General features: G+C 47.7%; 2 protein-coding genes across 29 annotated transcripts in view, besides 3 other annotated features; both read right to left on the bottom strand.

Annotated features, from left to right (window-relative positions):
- Positions 1–1,177: 1,177 nt before the first annotated feature.
- NOLC1 (nucleolar and coiled-body phosphoprotein 1) lies at positions 1,178–12,659 on the bottom strand. 4 transcript variants are annotated; one of them, XM_005270273.3, is made up of 13 exons: positions 12,518–12,659; positions 7,974–8,029; positions 7,720–7,862; positions 7,493–7,617; positions 6,834–6,999; positions 5,710–5,855; positions 5,480–5,615; positions 5,024–5,152; positions 4,705–4,815; positions 3,955–4,596; positions 3,386–3,492; positions 3,123–3,215; positions 1,178–2,937 (listed from the first exon to the last, which is right to left on the bottom strand). In XM_005270273.3, exons 1-13 carry the CDS (start codon positions 12,635–12,637, stop codon positions 2,779–2,781), a joined length of 2,133 nt encoding a protein of 710 aa, XP_005270330.1. In that variant the 5' UTR covers positions 12,638–12,659; the 3' UTR covers positions 1,178–2,778. The 4 variants fall into 4 exon arrangements, with proteins under 4 accessions (XP_005270330.1, NP_001271318.1, NP_001271317.1 ...); NM_001284389.2 differs by having other exon boundaries at positions 5,740–5,855; NM_001284388.2 differs by having other exon boundaries at positions 7,720–7,859.
- Positions 11,974–13,173: an enhancer, noted in NCBI's record as "CDK7 strongly-dependent group 2 enhancer chr10:103911632-103912831 (GRCh37/hg19 assembly coordinates)". NCBI's record gives its function as "activates an origin of replication core promoter dependent on BRD2, BRD4, P300/CBP, MED14 and CDK7 cofactors, with strong dependence on CDK7, by STARR-seq in HCT116 cells {active_cell/tissue: HCT116}" and the evidence as "EXISTENCE:reporter gene assay evidence [ECO:0000049][PMID:35650434]".
- Positions 12,549–12,598: an enhancer, noted in NCBI's record as "active region_3924". NCBI's record gives its function as "activates an Ori minimal core promoter by ATAC-STARR-seq in GM12878 lymphoblastoid cells {active_cell/tissue: GM12878}" and the evidence as "EXISTENCE:reporter gene assay evidence [ECO:0000049][PMID:35858748]".
- Positions 12,769–13,068: an enhancer, noted in NCBI's record as "active region_3923". NCBI's record gives its function as "activates an Ori minimal core promoter by ATAC-STARR-seq in GM12878 lymphoblastoid cells {active_cell/tissue: GM12878}" and the evidence as "EXISTENCE:reporter gene assay evidence [ECO:0000049][PMID:35858748]".
- PPRC1 (PPARG related coactivator 1) overlaps positions 14,715–19,212 on the bottom strand; it is a 30,445-nt gene continuing 25,947 nt past the window's right edge. For 14 of the 25 annotated variants that reach the window (XM_047424879.1, XM_024447914.2, XM_047424878.1 and 11 more), the window contains 6 exons: positions 17,656–18,376; positions 16,527–16,676; positions 16,354–16,420; positions 16,110–16,231; positions 15,719–15,870; positions 14,715–15,122 (listed from right to left, as the gene is read on the bottom strand). In XM_047424879.1, coding sequence (XP_047280835.1) covers positions 15,019–15,122; positions 15,719–15,870; positions 16,110–16,231; positions 16,354–16,420; positions 16,527–16,676; positions 17,656–18,376 — 1,316 coding nt within the window. In that variant the 3' untranslated portion in view covers positions 14,715–15,018. Of the gene's footprint in view, positions 15,123–15,718; positions 15,871–16,109; positions 16,232–16,353; positions 16,421–16,526; positions 16,677–17,655; positions 18,377–19,212 lie in introns of those variants that run through there. The other 11 variants (XM_017015982.2, XM_047424876.1, XM_047424877.1 and 8 more) reach the window with 5 other exon arrangements.

The following is a 19,212-nucleotide window of genomic DNA, read 5'->3' as shown; positions in this document are numbered from 1 at the left end:
TTATATTATACTAGGGTAAGTTCTAGGGTACATGTGCACAATGTGCAGGTTTGTTACATATGTATACATGTGCCATGTTGGTTTGCTGCACCCATTAACTGTCATTTACATTAGGTATATCTATCTCCTAATGCTATCCCTTCCCTCCCCCCACCCCACATTAGGCCCTGGTGTGTGATGTTCCCCACCCTGTGTGCAAGTGTTCTCATTGTTCAATTCCCACCTATGAGTGAGAACATGCGGTGTTTGGTTTTCTGTCTTTGTGATAGTTTGCTGAGAATGATGGTTTCCAGCTTCATCCATGTCCCTACAAAGGACACGAACTCATCCTTTTTTATGGCTGTAGTATTCCATGGGGTGTATGTGCCACATTTTCTTAATCCAGTCTATCATTGATGGACATTTGGGTTGGTTCCAAGTCTTTGCTATTGTGAATAGTGCCACAATAAACATACGTGTGCATGTGTCTTTATAGCAGCATGATTTATAATCCTTTGGGTATATACTCAGCAATGGGATTGCTGGGTCAAATGGTATTTCTAGTTCTAGATCCCTGAGGAATCGCCACACTGTCTACCACAATGGTTGAACTAGTTTACAGTCCAACCAACAGTATAAAAGTGTTCCTATTTCTCCACATCCTCTCCAGCACCTGTTCTTTCCTGACTTTTTAATGATCGCCATTCTAACTGGTGTGAGATGGTATCTCATTGTGGTTTTGATTTGCGAGTATCCGTGCTTCTAAGTTCCTCAGATGATTCTAATTTTCAGCTGATGTCTTAGGAATCGCTGATTTAGACCAGGGATTGGCAAACTTCTTCTGTAAAGGGCCGCATCCTAAATATCTTAGGCTTTGTGGGCCATTGATAAGATCTCTGTCACACATTCTCTTTTTAAAAGACCTTTACAAATGTAAAAACCATTCTTAGCTCCTAGGTAATACAAAAACAAACCATGGGCTGGATTTGACCCATAGGCCATTTTGCCAACCCCCAATTTGGACTATGCGTAGGCTAGAATATAGCCTGGAAAAGGCACCGTGAGACAAGCTGCTGCCAAAAAGCCTCTGCAGTGAAATCACAGGTCTGGACCCCAGTCCTATAACTGGCACCAAAGTTGTTCTGGTTTGAGTAGGGGGTGGGAGGGGTTTAGACTCACAATAATAAAACTCCCAAGACACATTATAAACCAGCCAGTTTATTATTTTGTAGTAAGATTTAGAACTTTTACCATGCAGACTGAAATATCTGTGTCAGCATGAACAGTACATTTTCTTCCTAGAGGCAGTTACATGGAAAACCAGGTTATTATCAGGTTATTTAGCAAGTATGGAATCCAAACAAGAGGAGACTAATCTTAAGACCTATAACTCGTCCATGAAGGCTTGGGGCACACTTTTCTACCACCAGAATGCCTTAGCTTCCAGAAAGCTGTGGACTCTTCCCTCTCCGTCTTGGTCTGGCTGAGTACCGCTACTGCTCAGTCACTTCCTGCAGCCATACCGTCAGGCCAGCTTGGCCTAAAAGCTGTTATCTCTGGTCACTGGTTTGTGTTGTTACAGCCACTGCTACTAACAGTTAAGGTTCTGAAGGGGGCATGTCAATTGCTCCCAGGTACCAACTAGGAGACACAATAATCCTATTAGTTTGTTCTCCCAAACCCACTCCAGTTTATCAGGTAATATGCTCTGTAAGGTTCTTTCCAACCCCATTAGCACATACATAGATTACCTATAATTTCACCTAATGTAATCTACCTTCCTACTGAGGATTGAGGTTTTAACGTTTGTTTTTTTTCCCCCCACTTTCTTGATCAGTGATTCTCAACCATGTAGGAATTAATGAAACCAATTCTGTATCACCACTGCAACCAAGACAGCAATACCAAGTGATATGTATTTTTCAAACTCATGTCATTTTGTTCTCTATACTGTAAAAAACGAGAAGATGCAGTCCTCAACTTAGAACTCAATACTAGGAAGGGTCAAGTTGTCAAAAAATGTCTTTCAACAGTAGAAAAGTTTGCTTTCAAATTAAAAAACAAAGCACGTATTGCAAACATCGTGTAATGATAAAATTACAGAAAAAAATATATTCAGAATGACCCATGGCATTCACGCCATACCAGAATTTTGCCTGTAACAAAACAGAGAATTTTATCCCAAAAAGTAGGTTAGGTCCATGCTGGCTAAAAACTTCAGTCCCAGACCCAATAAATGAGGATGAAATACATAGTGCATGCTTAACAGACATTGCATATACATCAACAATTCTTTAATGCCCCTCTCTAGGGTTTTGAGGGAAGGAGGGATGAAATGTGGACATGTGCACTCACAAAGGCAGAATTTTCTTCCTATTATAAAAAGTCACACGTGACCCTTTACTATGTTTTGGGCAATAGCCAAGATTTTATCTGTGGGAATCCACCTTTGAAAATCACAACAAAAATCAATAGTAAGTGATTTAATATAAAATATACAAATTTCTCAGTATGAGGACTTTCACAGAAAAGGAAGGAGACAACAATGAAAATGAATTTTCTTAAAAAATAACATTCCCTTATTTTGTCCCTGCTACTCAACACTCAAAAACAAGTCTGTACAAAACTAGGAACACAGAAAAGGACCAGAGAGGATGTTACACTGTAAAGTCTTAGGACCTACTCTAAACTTCTGTCCTCATCAAGACCCTCACCTAGAGACCTGAGGGTTCCCAGGTCCACTGGAGAAAGTAAGTAGTCTCCGATCATCACCCTTGCTTCACCGAAGATGGCCTCAGGTCACTCGCTGTCAAACTTAATAGAATTGACCTGGACAGAGATTGAGCCTCCCCGGTAGCTGCCCCGCTTCTTCTTGGTTTTCTCATGCCGAAAGGACTTGCCTTTGGTGAACTTCAAAACCTGATTGGCTCGCTCTCCCCAGTCTCCGGCTGCACCTCGCTGGTAAGTAGAGAGGGAGATTAACACAGAGGAGGACCATGCTGGAGCCCTGTCACTTTATTCTTTCTACTCCCTGCTCAAGGAAACCTGAACCCAGAGAAGATTCCCACCAACCTGAACCAAGAATTGTCCTCTCTGACACTACCCATCCTCCCTCCCAAGAATGGCACAGATCTCTCTCTCACCTTGGCATCAAAGGAGTTGTCCGCAACTCGTGAATCCACCTCAATTTCCTCCTCCCTGACCCTTCGGAATGGGGATGATGCCCTTTTTTCTCCCTACAGAAGAATGAAGTAGGAAATTAAAGACAGAGTGGTCATGTAACAGTTCTCCTGAGTGATACACATGGGCACATGTACCAGGTCACGCCAGGCAGAGCTGTCAAGATGATCCTAGATTTTTCTACTTTTAAAGAGCTGGCTCCTGAGAAGAAAGTGAGACAACTTACTTTCTTCCTTTTTGGAAATGTGTTAGGGGTCTGAAGCTTTATCTTCTTGGCCTGAGGAGTCTCTGCCTCCTTGGCAGCCTCATTCTGCTTCCGCTTCTTTAATGAACCTACAAAACAAAAAGCCAGACTCAGGCCGAGTACAGTGGCTCACAACTGTAACCCCAGCATTTTGGGAGTCCAAGGTAGGAGGATCGCTTGAGCCCAGGAAATTCAGATCAGCCTGGGCAATATAGTGAGATTCTGTCTCTATAAAAAGTTAAAAAAATGAGCCAGACATGGTGGTGCATGCTTGTAGTCCCGGCTACTCAGGAGGCTGGGGTGGAAAGATCACCTGAGTCCATGAGGTTAAGGCTGCACAAGCCGTGATCATGCCATTGCACCCTGGTCTGGGTGACACAGTGAGACTCTAATAAAAAAAAAAAAAGGTAACCAGTTTCCTGTTCTTCCTCCCAGTTTCCACAACTGGAAGCCCAGTGGTGGGCCTCCTCTCACTACCCTACTCTCAAAGAGTATATCCCATCCTGATTTGGGGGGACAAAACCCAGAGGGCATGTTCATTGGGTACAGACCTGATTTGGAAACTACCACTGCCGCCTTTTTCTTTTCTTCTTCCTCCTCCTCACTGTTCTTAGCTGCTTTTCCATTCTGGGCAGTCAGTGCAGAGGTGCCATTGGCCTTGGGGGCTTGTGGTCTTGGAGAGCCCTTGCCCTTGAGCTTCTCTTCCTCTTCCTCACTGGAGTCATCAGAAGAAGAACTGTTGCTGCTCTCAGCCTTTCCTTTCTTTGCAGAGGCTGGCTTGGAAGGGGCTGCACCTCCTGCTACCTTCTGTGGCTTCTTCTTAACTGCAGACTTAGATGTCTTCTCTTCCTCCTCCTCACTGCTGGAGCTGTCTGAATCAGAGCTGCTGTCCCTACTACCCTGAGGAGCCTGCTTGGCAGGCAGAGATAGAGCTGCTTTGGCAGTCGCCTTGGGCTTAGTGGTGGCCACCATCTTCTTTGTCTTCTCCTCCTCACTGGAGCTGCTCTCTTCCTCACTGGAGCTGCTGTCAGCCTTTCTCGTCAGAAGCTTCTGGCCACCGCCCACAGGTTGCTTGGGGGCTGCAGCTGGCTTCACTGCAGGTGACTTGGTGGTGACAGCTGGCTTATTTGAAGAATTCTTGGTGGTACCAGCTGGCTTAGAAGGAGCTTCATCATCCTCAGAGCTGTCAGAGTCTAGACACAGAAGGGATGGAATCAACAGCTCCCCAAATTGGATTCAGGGGAGCCCTTAGCAGCTGCCTGAGAGCATCTCACTGAACTGAGGGCCTCCATATGCCTTACCTGAGCTGTCTGAAGAGCTCTCTGCTGCTTTCTTTGCTGGAGGTGGTTTAGTGGTTGCTTTAGAGACTACTGCCTTAGTTGGGGGTTTCTTCTCTTCTTCAGAACTTGAATCTGAGGAGAACCTGTAGCATTATGCTGGGTCCAGAGTCCCAACCCAACCAGGACAGCAATAAAAAGAATGCAAAGACACGCACAGAGCCTTAGCTCTGTCTTGCTTTAAGCAAAAAGCAACCGAAGGATGGAAGGCTTTCTCTCTCCCTTATTCCTCATCCCCTCCTCCAGACCCACGCTGAGGGGAGGCTGCATCCCTCTGACTCACCAGACTCATCACTGCTGTCTTCACTGCTTTCCACAGGCTGCTGCTTCTCCACAGCCTTCTTGGGAGGCTGGGTTCCCAGAGACTTCTTTGGTGGGGGAGCAGAAGGCGGGGGGACTGAACTGTAGGGACCTGTTTAAAAAGGATAGTGTGATGGTTTTAGGATATGTCTACAACTTTTTTTGATACTACTTTCTTGTAGAAATGAAGCTTAATTCCCCTTCACTTGAGTATGGGCCAGAATCAATGACTCAGTTCTAACAGAACATGGTGTCACCTCTGAGTCTAGGTTACACAAGGCACTGGAGATTTCTCCTTGCTTTCCTGGATCACTAGTGCTCGGAGAAGCTAGCTGTCATGTCATGAGGACGCTCATGCACCTCTATGGAGAGGTCCATGTGGTTACTGCAGCTGGGCCCTGACCACAGTCACACAGCTTCGCTCCCCATGTCCAGTCACCTGGTTTATTTTTCATGGGTTTTTTTTGCTCCTCTTCCTCGTCACTGGAGGAATCCTCACTGCTAGAACTCTTCCGGGTAGGGGTGGTAGCTGCTTTCACTGGGGCCTTGGCCACAACTTGCTTTTTAGGTACAGTCTGCATTAGAAAGAAAATTGATTACCACAGGAAAATGCTGACCCAACCAATCCTGCCAGGGAAGGAAGACACACACACATCACACCCTGGTCACCTCTGCCCTGACAGAAGTTATGGTCCAGACCTTCTTGGGGGTGGCTGCTGCCTTCTCCTCCTCTGAGTCATCACTGCTACTGCTGCTGCTGCTGCTACTGCTGCTACTGGCTGCTTTACCATTGGCTATTTTAGGTGCTGCTCGAGCTGGAATACCCAAGAAAAAGAAAGAGTAAGGAGTATTAGGGCAAGTCAGGACCATGAAAAACCTCCTTCCTATGAGCAGAGAACTTAGGAGTCCACCATTTTTTTTTTTTTTTTTTTTTTTTTTTTTGGAGACGGAGTCTGGCTCTGGCTCTGTTGCACAGGCTAGTGTGCAGTGGTTCAGGCAACTCTCCCGCCTCAGCCTCTGGAGTAGCTGGGATTACAGGTGCCCACCACCATGCCCAGCTAATTTTTATATTTTTAGTAGACACAGGGTTTCGCCATGTTGGCCAGGCTGGTCTTGAACTCCTGACCTCAAGCAATCCGCCCGCCTCAGCCTCCCAAAGTGCTGGGATTATAGGTGTGAGCCACTGTGCCTGGCCAGGAGTCCACCAATTCTTTCAACTTTAGAGCAGCCATCGAGGAGAATGCCAGCCATGGTTTACCACATCAAAGGATACCTTTCCTATCCCATGGCAGGAATAAAACTGTCTTCTTAGAAAAGATGACATAAATAATCTCAATACGCCCTCTAAAATCTTTCACTTCAACCTCCATTCAGAGAAATAACCTAACCCTCATCACAAGTTACAGAAAAAAAGAAAAATTCTCATTTGTCTCATAGAATGAACATACAAGAGTAAAAATGGCAGTGAAAAGCACAACAAATAGATATTTAAGTGATTACAGTGGAATGGGATGTGTGAAAACATAAAATGTCTATGAAATGTCACAAAATACCAAATGGATACCATTAAAAAAAATACACATTTTTTCTTGCTGCAATAACTTTCTCTATTTACTAGCTCCTATGAAATCTTGTTATTTATTAGTAAAACCTTTAAAATTAAAAGACCAGTAATCAACACCTCCAGTTCAACAAACAGTACCATTTCACCCCTGTGCCAAATCGGCAATTTTAACTCCAGTCCCCAGAGCAATCTGGTCCCCAGCCCAGCCTCTTGGGAACAGAAACAGTACCTGGTTTGGGAGGGGCTTTAGTCTGAGCTTTAACTGTCACAGGTGTTATCTTTGGCTTCTGGTTCTTTGGTGGCTCATCCTCGGAGCTTGAGTCAGAATCAGAATCAGAGCTCTTGGCCTTCTTAGGAGGAGCTTTGGCTGCCTTGGCTTGGGGCTTAACTCCCTTCTGTTAGAAAAGACACAAGGAGAGAAATCAGCAAAAGCTTCCGGGTACCCAAAGGGCATCCTAGGTTCCTTTTATTTTTAGGGGCCTAATGGAGCAGTAAGAGCAAAAGAAAGCTAAGGACAGGATACGGAAAGGGCAAAAAACAACAAAGTTCAGCCACTTGATACACTGGCCCTGTTCCTGCCTTATCCTGCCAAAGCTCCCAGGAAAACACTCTCTCTTATTCTTGGAGCCCTGAATAGTGTCCCAGAAGAACCCAAACTCCTCAAGCAGAATGGGTTTAATTTCCTCTAGATTCGGAGCCTGACCTCAACCTCACACATCCCTTCCAGACCTCATACTTTTATCAGCTCCCTGAAAATCCCCAGATTTTCTTCCTCATAATCACCTATTGTATTGCCGCCATCACCCCTTGGTTACAAGCTAGAGGCCAAGATTTTAGGTTTCTTCCTTTCTAATCCTTAAACCCCTTTTTCTTCCCAAAGCTGCAAACCTGGACAGGCTGTTTCTTTTGGTCCTCCTCATCATCATCATCACTGGACTCTTCACTGCTGCTACTCTCTGATGCTTTGGCTGCAGCCTTCCCAGGAGGCAGACCGACTCGCTTGGCAGGTACAGCTGAACAAACACACAGGTCCCAGTAAGAATCAGCCATGTGAAACAAGCAGGCTGTAAATTCTTTTCCTGGCACCACCAAGCCCACCTGCTACTCTGCCTTACCAGCCTTCTTTGCTGGAGGCCCTTGAACTTCCTCCTCCTCCTCGCTGCTGTCCTCACTGTCACTGGATGAGGCCTTCTTCTTAGCTTTCTTAGCCACTGGTCCATTTGCCTGTAACTTTCGCTCTGGGACCTTGGCAGACCTGCTGAGGTAGATTGGACCAATTTCTAGGGGACTGGAATCTTCCCAAACCAAGAAACACAGCCCAGCCTATCTTGGGGGAGAAAATAGCCAAAATGGAACAGGAAAGGCTTACTTGAGCCAGAAGCTATAGATGTCTAAGAGGGAAGAGGCATTGGCATCCTGCTGTGTCTGTAGAAGAAAAAGAGCTGGGTAAGGAAATTATTTTATCCTGGTTATGCTTTCATTAAATGTGGCCTGTTACATACATAATTACTAAATTTGGTATAAATGTTACATCTTCATAAAACTTTTGCTACGTGCATAAATCAGGAGAAAAATATTCTATTTGTGGATTTCCCAATTTCTGATGTAAAAAACGGGCTACTCCTATGTTTGCGGCACCATCTAACCATCTAACCCCCTGCCTGCCAATCTATATTGATCAAAGTCCTAAAACAAAACAAAACAAAAAATCAGCCAGTCACGGTGGCTCATGCTTGTAATCCCAGCACTTTGGGAGGCCGAGGCAGGCAGATCAAGAGGTCAGGAGTTCAAGACCAGCCTGGCCAACATGGTGAAACCCCATCTCTACTAAAACAAAAATTAGCCCAGCATGATGGCAGATGTCTGTAGTCCCAGCTACTTGGGAGGCTGAAGCAGGAGAATTGCTTGAACCTAGAAGGCTGAAGCAGGAGAATCACTTGAACCTAGGAGATCGCGCCACTGCACTCCAGCCTGAGCAACAAGAGCAAGACTCCATTTCAAAAAAAAAAAAAAATCACTTTTGACTGGGCACAGTGGCTTATGCCTGTTATCTCATGTTATCTCAGCACTTTGGGAAGCTGAGACAGGAGGATCACTGGATGCCAGGAGTTCAAGACCAGCCTAAGCAACATAGCAAGACCCCCATCTCTACCCCTCTGCCAAAAAAAAGGCTCTCTCTTTACTCTAGCAATGTACTATCTAAGAATGTAATCTTATCCATTACTTGAGGGTACAAACACTAATACAAGAAGGTTTTTCCTGCAATGTGGATTATAATACCAAATCATTAGAAATAAGCCTCCAGGCGGGATGCAGTGGCTCACGCCTATAATCCCAACACTCTGGGAGGCCAAGGCGGGCAGATCGCCTGAGGCCAGGAGTTCAAGACCAGCCTGGCCAACATGGAGAAACCCTGTCTCTTAGCCGGGTGTGGTGGCAGGCGCCTGTAATCCCAGGTACTCGGGAGGCTGAGGCAGAAGAATCGTTTGAACCCCAGAGGCGGAGGGTGCAGTAAGCTGAGATCGCGCCACTGCACTCCAGCCTGTGCGACAGACCAAGACTCTGTCTCAAAAAAAAAAAGAAAGAAACAAGACTAGTAAGTACTGTATTGAATGTAAAGAACTGCATTTAAGGGCCAGGCACGGTGGCTCAGGTCTGCTGTAATCCCAGCACTATGGGAGGTCGAGGTAGGCAGATCATGATGTCAGGAGTTTGAGACCAGCCTGGCCAACATGGTGAAACCCCATTTCTACCAGAAACACAAAAAATTAACTGGGCATGGTGGTGCACACCTGTAATCCCAGCTACTCAGGAGGCTGAGGCAGGAGAATCGCTTTAACCCAGGAGGCTGAGGTTGCAGTGAGCCAGTATCACACCATTGTACTCCAGCCTGGGCGACAGAGTAAGTCTCAAAAAAAAAAAAAAATGCATTCAGGCCGGGCGCAGGTACGCTAACACTTTGGCAGGCCAAGGCAGGAGGATCACTTAAGGACAGGAGTTCAAGACCAGCCTGGGCAAGACAGTGAGACCTCCATCTCTCTCTCTCTCTCTTTTTTTTTTTTTGAAATGGAATTTCGCTCTTGGTCGCCCAGGTTGGATTGCAATGGCACTGCGGTTGCTTGGCCTGTGGTGGCTAAACGCCTGTAATCCCAACACTTTGTGAGGCTGAGGCGGGTGGATCATCTGAGATCGGGAGTTCGAGACCAGCCTGACCAACATGGAGAAACCCCGTCTCTACTAAAAATACAAAATTAGCTGGGCGTGGTGGCGCATGCCTGTAATAATCCCAGCTACTCAGGAGGCTAAGGCAGGAGAATCGCTTGAACCCAGGAGGTGGAGGTTGTGGTGAGCCGAGATTGCACCATTGCACTCCAGCCTGGGCAACAAGAGCGAAACTGTCACAAAAAAAAAAAAAAAAAAATTAGCCAGGTGTGGTGGTACATGTCTGTAGTCCTAGCTACCCCAGTGACTGAGGCAGGAGGATTGCCTGAGCCCAGGAGTTCGATGCTACAGCGAAGTATGATTGCATCACTTTACTCCAGCCTGGGCGACAGAGTGAGACCCTCTAAAAGAAACAAACAAACACAAAACAATACACAGAAGAGTACAGGATCAGGCCAGGTGCAGTGGCTCACGGGCCTGTAATCCCAACACTTTGGGAGGCTGAGGTGGGTGGATCACCTGATCAGGAATTTGAGACCAGCCTGGCTGGTATGGTGAAACCCCATCTCTACTAAAGATACAAACATAAGCTGGGCGTGGAGGCGGGCGCCTGTAATCCCAGCTATTTGGGAGGCTGAGGCATGAGGCTGAGGCACAAGAATCGCTTCAACCTGGGAGGCAAAGGTTGCAGTGAGCTGAGATTGCACCACTGCACTCCCGCCTGGGCAACAGTGAGACTCTGTGGTCCAAAAAAGAGTAAATGATCAGAGTCAGTACAGATGGGAACTCACCTTTGGACAAATTACCTTATCTCCCTGAGATTATTTTCTTTTCTATAAAATGGAGATAATACTACACATCTCATTAAGTTATTGAGAGGATAAGACATAATGCATGTTGGCCGGGTGCGGTGGCTCACACCTGTAATCCCAGCACTTTGGGAAGCCGAGGCAGTAGATTCTTGAGGTCAGGAGTTCAAGAGCAGCCTGGCCAACATGGTGAAACCCCGTCTCTACTAAAAATACAAAAAAAAAAAAAAAAAATTAGCCAGGCATGGTGGGGCACACCTGTAGTCCCAGCTACTTGGGAAGCTGAGGCAGGAGAATCACTTTAGCCTGAGAGGCAGAGGTTGCAGTGAGCTGAGATCGTGCCACTGCACTCCAGCCTGGGCGACAGAGCCAGACTCCGCCTCAAAAAAAAAAAAAAAAAAAATTAAATGCATGTGAAGGGCGTAGCATCTGACCCTTAGTTAGCTCTTCACAAAGATTAGCTTTTCTCACATAAAACCATTTCAGAATCCTAATCCTGAGGCCGGGCACGGTGGCTCGCGCCTGTAATCCCAGCACTTTGAGAGGCTGAGGCAAGTGGATTTCTTGAGGTCAGGAGTTCAAGACCAGCCTGGCCAACATGGTGAAACCTCATCTCTACTAAAAATACAAAAATTAGCCGGGCGTGGTGGTACGCGCCTGTAATCCCAGCTACTGGGGAGGCTGAGGCAGGATAATCACTTGAACTTGGGAGGCGGAGGTTACAATGAGCCGAGATCGCACCATTGCACTCCAGCCTGGGCAACAGAGACTCCGTCTCAAAAAAAAAAAAAAAAAAAAAAGAATCCTAATTCTGAAATGTCCAATTCCATCCAGTCCACTGTGAAAGCACTCTCCGCAGTCTCCTTAACAGTCAACTCTAAACAGTTTCATTAAGAAAGCAGTTAGATCACATGGCAGCCTGTCCCAGCTTAAGGAAGTTTTGAGGCTGATCTGATTCTTTGCTTTCGCAGCCTGATTCTGCTAAAAGTGCAAGCCATCCTTCCTAGTCATGCTATCATCCCTGCTGAAGACCCCCCCTCTCTCCTCTCTCAAAGTGTCTTCCCATGCAGGAATGTCCGTTGATGTAGATTACAAACCTTTCACATTCCTGGTTCTCTTACTCTTACATGTGTTTGGAGCATCCTAAATTGCCATAACTATGGTACAGCTTTCACTTTTACAAGATTCCTCTGTACCAGCACTGAGATTGCTACTCTTACACATCATCTTACTGAAACTCACAAAAATCCTATAAAGTGGATGATGACATCCCTGTAGAAAGACTCAGAAAGGTTAAATAAACTGCCCGGGTCACGTATCTAAAAAGTGGCAGAGCCTGGTCCCAAACCTAGGTTTGTTTGATTCAATTAGCCAAAGCTCCAAGCCCACTACTATGCCTACTTGGTAGGGCTGTTGATGACTCTCAATTCTCAGTGTAACTCAAAACAAAACTCTGCTTCTACTTTCATTCATTTTCTTCTTTACAAACGAAAATCCCAGACTTCATTCTAAAGAAATTTCACTTGCTTTTGAATCCCAGTAAATGTGACTGAGGCTAAGGTCAAATCACGGTTTGCCTCACCCAACGAAAAGCCCCCCAGAAGATGCCGAAGAACCAACGTCCTCAGTGGAACAAGACTCTACCTCCCCGCTGCACTCTGCCAGCCATGTGGCTTGGGGCCACGAGGCTCCCACGCTGCCGCCGCTGCACAGGTCACAAGAAAAAAGCAACAAGACTCAGCGATATCTACTCAGACATGGAGGAAGGTAAGCGACCGAGGCCGCAGGCTTTCTCTGGTCACTGCCGAGGGGTCGGCGTAAAGGCCTTGCAGACACTGGACTGGCGGACCCCCAGACTTCCCCACCTGGAAACCTAAGCACGTCAGGGCCTGAAGCCTTGTGGTCATCTCAGCCCGGTCCCCGCCCCAAGCCCGGAACTCACAGCTCCTGTCGCTTTGGCGAACTTATTGGCCACCTCTGAGAGTTGGTTATCGCGCAGGAAGCCGAGCACGAGGGGATACAGGTCGCTGGGAACCACGCGGCGAATGCCGGCGTCCGCCATCCTCCAGGCAATACGCGTCACTACCGTTGTCGACGCAGCACGACTCAGGAACCCAACAGGGGCAGTGGGCGGGCCTGTGTTACGTCATTGCGCCGCGCGGGCGCATAACGGAAAGGGTGGGCTCCACAGGGCAGTCCCACCTTCACCTCAGAGGTAGGGTAGACGGGAAATCTATAAACTCTTTCCGGTCCCACGCGTATCGCCATCTTGGTTAAGGGCGGAGCCCACCGGCCGCCAGCTTGTGGAGGCGGAGCTCTGACGTCAGGGATCACGCCCTCGGCGTGGCGGGAAAACTCGGGACTTCCCGCGCAGTCTTTCTGGGGGAGGTACCTTTTCTCAGAGCAGCGGTTTCCCGCGCCCCTGCTGGGACTCGGATTCCAGAGTAATGAGTGGACAAGCGGGCTCGAACAGTTGTTCTACAAGATCTCCCAACCGCCCCCATGGCGTACTGGCACGGCCAATGGATTCTCGCCCTTCATCTTCACTGCCTCCAATACCCAGGGAGGCCCTTTCTGATACCATCCCAGCCTCCAGACTCCTGCCTCTGCTGCAGAAGATCCTTCGGGTTATCCGTCGTGAGGGTGGGAGGTGTTGATTTCCCAAGCTGCCCCTCCCATCTCCCTTATATTCCGCCTTAGGTCAGCTCCATGAAGAGGAAAGGTGTCATGCACCAAACCTGAATCACACACAGCAACAATCTATTCAAGCTGAAGAGATTGTTGAAAATAACCCTTCTTCCTCCGGGATCAGAGTTCACACTCTGCCTTTGTCATGAGTAACTCCAGTATCAATGCCTTTGTCATGAGTAACTCCAGTATCAATGCTCAGACCTACCAAGTTAATTCCAAGTTCTGCCACATTCCAGATATTAGCAGTTAGCAATCCCTTCAATCCTACCCACTACCCCTTGGCTACCTCCCACTAATGCCGCTCAGGAAAGATAAGGATCCTCATGGGAACACACCCCCCTCTCCTATATAAAATTGGCCAGGCATAGTGGCTCACAACTGTTATCTCAACACTTTGGAAGGCCTAGGTGGGAGGATCCCTTGAGCCCAGGAGTTAAGAGGCCAGCCTGGACAACACAGTGAAACCCCCCTATCTCTACAAAAAATTTTTAAAATTAGCCAGGTGTAGTGGCATGCACCTGTGGTCCCAGCTACTTGGGAGGCTGGGGCAGGAGGATCAACTGAGCCAGGGAGGTCAAAGCTGCAATGAGCTATGATCCTGCCACTGCAATCCAGCCTGGGCCACAGAGTGAGATCCTATCTCAAAAATCAAAAACAAAGCTGGGCACGGTGGTTCATGCCTGTAATCTCAGCACTTTGGGAGGCTAAGGTGGGTGGATCACCTGAGGTCAGGAGTTCAAGAACAGCCCTGGCCAACATGGTGAAACCCTGTCTCTACTAAAAATACAAAAAAAATTAGCCAGGCATGGTGGCGGGTGCCTGTAATCCCAGCTACTCAGGAAGCTGAGGCAGGAGAATCACTTGAACCCGGGAGGCAGAGGTTGCAGTAAGCCAAAATCGTGCCACTGCACTCCAGCCTGGGAGACAGAACAAGACTCCATCTCCAAAACAAAACAAAAAAATTCAAAAACAGAAACAAAAAACTCCACAGTTCCCTCTTCCCCACGCTTCCTGTTCTACCCACATGCATGCATTATTTAAAACATTTGAGCACCTGCTGTGCCATGCAGTGTGCTCAAGCTATTATAAAATGATGAACATAACTGACATGATGAATGTATACACCTGTCGCAGTTTAGAAAACCTTTCTTTGGAACAAGTGTGAGCTTCTCTAGGTCCTTGTTATCAAAATCCCTTCCTGGACCAGTATCATCATCCCATTGTCAGAATCTACATTCTAAAAAGATCGCTAGATGATTCAAATTCCCTTTAAAGTTGAGAAGCACTGTCCTAAATGACTCATTTTAGACAATACATCTGAGGAACCAAGGTTCAAATCCAGTGGGATTTTTGCACCTGACCAGGGAGAGGCATGTCCCTGGACCATGTTCAGATAGGAAAAGTGAATACATTTGGCATTAGCACCATATAAAGACGCACAACAGCAGTTGGGAGTTCTCTCTAGTTGATGTTTATTAGTCTGCATAGTGACTTATGTTCCAAACACTGGGGATCCCCTCAGCCCCTCCTATCTTACATAGGAATGCAAGTTAACTTGTTTCAATACCTGTTATAAAAAAACAAATACCCCTTTTAAAAAATCTGATTCAACATATTTTTTATTTCACTTTTTTCCATTTCTTTATAAAACAGTCATCTCACTAGCAGCTCTCTCCCCTAGAGTAGGGGAAGGGGGTGGAGGAGGTTGGGCACCTCCAAAGGAGAAAAAGGATAGCAGGGAAGGGCCCAAGGTTACCTCCTGAGGTTCTTCTGGGCCTGTTTCAACAATGTGTCAAAGTCAAGAGAATCAAATTTGCTCTTTACAGGTGCTGGGTCAAAGTCTTCCCGGTTGGAGTCTATAAAGGTAAAGACAAACTTCAAGGTCTCTGACCACACTTCCCAACCACAGGGTCTGCAAATGGCTAGCTATCTCCCATCCCAAAAACGGATGGAGTGAAAACTGCTCTAATTTTAAGTCAAAGAGATAGGAGAGTCCCCAGTCCCCATTTCTCCTCTCGTCCCACCCCTTGGGTCTTTTTTTTTTTTTTTTTTGAGACAGTCTCGTTCTGTAGCCCAGGCTGGAGTGCAGTGTTGTGATGTCAGCTCACTGCAACCTCCGCCTCCTGGGTTCAAGCAATTCTCCTGCCTCAGCTTCCCGAGTAGCTGGGATTACAGGTGCGTGCCACCACCTCTAGCTAATTTTTTCTATTTTTGGTAGAGATGGGGTTTCATCATGTTGGCCAGGCTGGTCTCGAACTCCTGACCTCGTGATTTGCCTGCCTCAGCCTCCCAAAGTGCTGGGATTACAGGCGTGAGCCACCATGCCCAGCCCCCTTGGGTTCTTTGTATGTCAAACTAAGGTAAGTCTGCCTAGCCCCACTCACAAAGGGTTAGGAACCCTTCTGGGGAGGGGATGAAGCATTCCAAAGCTTTAGGCCCTCCCTCCACTCACCAAGATCAGAATAGCTCCTCTTGCAGAACTGCCTTCGGCCCCCAAAGCAGAGATCAAAGGGCTGCTCATCTGCCTGCCGCAGCTTGTGGCCACTCTCAATGGCTGCAAATGCCTCCTCAGCATAGCGATAAGTGACGAAGCCGTAGTTGTCCCTAGTAGGAGGAGAGTGAGGCAGGGGCTGGAGTGGCTATATGGGCCCATGCCATAGAGGAGACACAGCATCCCAAGGTACAGAGGTGGTTCTTCTCATTCCCAGTGGCCAACCCTCTGACTGCAGAAATGAAGGTGCCCCATATTGCTCAGCACACCAGAGCAAGGAGGCAAGACAAAGAAACACCAAGGTAGATGAATGGGATAGAAAGAACATCCTGAGCCTGGGGCCCAAGCTTACCCTTGGACACGGAAGTGGATGGTGCACTCCTCAATCTCTCCAAAAACGGAGAACCTCTGTTTCAGCTCTGATCGAGTCATGCGGCCAGGTATCTTTCCAATGAAGACCACCCTTCTTTCTTCCTATGTTTGGAAATGAAAAAAAATCAACACACCATTAGCCAGGGCTACAGCTGCAGGCAGCTCTCTGAGCTCAAGGCTCAGGGGGTAAGCCCCATCCTCCCATGATCTGTTCCTCTACTCACTATTGCACGCTCCTTTTGTAGCACTCTTTGCCTTTGGTAATGGTCATGTGAACGATAAGAGCTGTACCTGACAAAAGAGGGTGTCATCAGCCCCCCAAACATAAGACAATTCAAGACTCAACTCTTAGGCACCTGCATCCCAGGTGCATGGCGCTCCCTGAACACATGCTCACCGCCGCCTCCTGTCACTTCTCCGGCGGGGGGATGGGGATCGTGAGCGGCTTCGAGAACTGGATGATGAGGATGAGGAAGACGAAGAGGAAGATGATGACGAAGAAGAGGAAGAGCATCTTCGAGAACGTCCAGAGGAACTACAGCTGGACCTGAAGGATAAGAGGGCATGCAGGAATGCTGGGAGTGGTTCAGGTATACTCTGCTTATCTCACCCAGGCCCCAGTCCTGCCTTTCTTTTAGGAAGCTCAGGACCAAAGACAAAGCAGAGTAGAAGAGGTCTAGAAGAACAATTTTCATTCAGAGATGAACAAACTGAGGCCCTTCATGGAACTTTAGGTGTACCTGGAATGTTGTGAAGTGTTTTGGAAGAGATCACATTTTCAATTGTGCACTTAAAAATTGAAAAATATTTAACAAATCAGAAAGAGGAAGAACAATAAATGGAGACTCAGGGAGAGGGGTGAGCCCTAGGTCTCACACCCAGCTATCTGTGGTGCTGGGGCCAAGCCTGGGTCTTTTGGGTTACTATTGCTCCCCTACCAGGTCTCACTGAAATACTGTGACCATGAGAGAGGTTAACTGCTAGACTTGTAGTATGGGCCAGTTCTGAAGACATATATCATCTCCAAAACCCAAGAATTCTTCATTAAGTGGGAAAACTTGGTTACTGAGAAAAAAAGATACTGCCAGGAAATAGATGAGGCCATAGTGACACCCAAAGGAACTGCCCCAGACACCTTCCTCAGCAGATGATTAAGGGAAGAACTATTTTCTATTAACAAGTAACCCACTACCTCACATAGCGCCCAGAATACCAAAAATGAAGGCTGATACAGTATGTGAAAAAAATCAACATGGTCAAAATCAAACCCTAAAAGTCTCCCCAAGGCAGGTCTCAAAGAAGCAGGAGACCTGACACCCCAAGCTCCAACAGGGGACAGAAGCAATTGTCTCACAGCTTGCCTCCTTCAACAATCCAGGAAAAGGGAAAACACAAAAGCCAAAGTCAGAAATAGAAGCCTTAGCGCCTGAAAGTACCAAAGTCAACGGGTAAAAGCTTTCAAAGTAAACCACAGAAGTACGTGAACTTCCTAAATGGAGAGGACCTACAGGGCCATCAAAGCTCACCTTCGCCACCTCTTGTGTGGGGGGGAGAGGGACCTGGACCGAGATCGGGATGAGGAAGACGATGATGAGGATGAGGAAGATGCTTCGCTAGTCCGGTTGGACCCAGAGCTGACAGAACGGCTGTTGCGGCCTCGGCGGCCCTGCCAGCCCTGGCTTGAGGGGCTGGCTGACCTGCAGGCTTTTCGGTAACAGCGCATTGACCGCTGCTTGGCTGAGGGTTCAGGGGGAGTCCTAGTGTTCATGTCATTCCGGCAGGGTGAGGCCTCAGGGGACAGCAAGCTGGATGGGGCAAGGCAGGGTGCTGAGGGATCTGCCTGCTCACTGCTAGTCCTGTGATCAAGCGGCTCCCGGGAGGCAGCTATGCATGGGGGCGGAGGGGCAGCTGGGCCCAAGGACAAGACAGGTTTGATGGTGATGTCCTGATGGCGCTTGACATTCCATCGGGAGCCCACCTCTGGAATGACTAGGGCAGGCATCTTTTTTGGGGGGGTCCTGCTCCGGACACAATAGTCATGGTCCCCAGAGCCCACATGGACTCGACTAGGGCCATGGACCCCTTCTTGGAGGCGAACTGCAGCTGGATGTTTGGCCTCCGTAACTCCTTCAGGCTTCAGGGTTCCCTCCTGGGCGGTGGACTTAGGAGATTTGGCTTTGGCCAGCAGTGAGACAGCAGCCAGGGGCTTCCATAACTGGTGGGGAGGGGTAGCTGGAGGGGTGAGCCCTGTGGTGGGGAGGGAGGATGGAGATAGCAGGATGAGATCCGATTCTACGCTTCCAAATACCGTGTATATAGCCTCCAGAGACCCCCACCTCATCTCACAAAGTACACCAAGCAAGGTAAGCAGCCCAACTTTTCCCACTGCTTCAACTGCCCCTTCCCCATGTTCCCCAACTTGGGGACCAGCAAGAGAAATCCAGCCAGCTAGGGTCTTCCTGAAGCCCTCATCCTCTCACTACCCAAACCTAGTAGCCAGGTCCTAGAGTCTAAGCTCTCCATTCTCAGATCCGCCCCTTCCCCCGAGTACTGCCTGACTTCTAGGCTGCATCTTTCCTGCACTCATGCAGTCATCATCTATCGTCTCCCCACTTGCAGCTTCAGAGTCCACCTGTCTTCTACATTCCTGCTAGATGGAGCACCCAAAAACCAATCTGGCAAAGTTTCTTCAATGCACAGGATAAAGTCCAAAGAGCTTAATATGGCATTCGAGGTCCCAATAATCTGACCTTCTATTTACCACTCCAGTTTTATCTCTCGCTTTACCTCTGCCCACTGCCCTGATCAGCTACTACACTCCAGCCAAACCAAGCCTCTCACAATTCCCCAAAACATACCCAGTTGGTTTTGTTTCTTCAGTTCATTCAAGATGCTCTGTCTTCCTAGAATGCCCTGTTCCCTAAATCTACCACCTGATAGAGTTTCTCAAGCCTCAGCTTAGGGGATTAGTTTCTATATAACCCTTCCCTGACTGTCCCTCTTCACATCTCACTGTAATCCATGGTTGTTTTTTTTTGTTGTTTGTTTTTTTTAAAGACAGAGTCTTGCCCTGTCGCCTAGGC

The sequence above is a fragment of the Homo sapiens genome, chromosome 10 (genome assembly GCF_000001405.40).
Source record: "Homo sapiens chromosome 10, GRCh38.p14 Primary Assembly".
Classification (NCBI taxonomy): Eukaryota; Metazoa; Chordata; class Mammalia; order Primates; family Hominidae; genus Homo; species Homo sapiens.
This window is presented reverse-complemented; position numbering and strand designations above follow the sequence as displayed.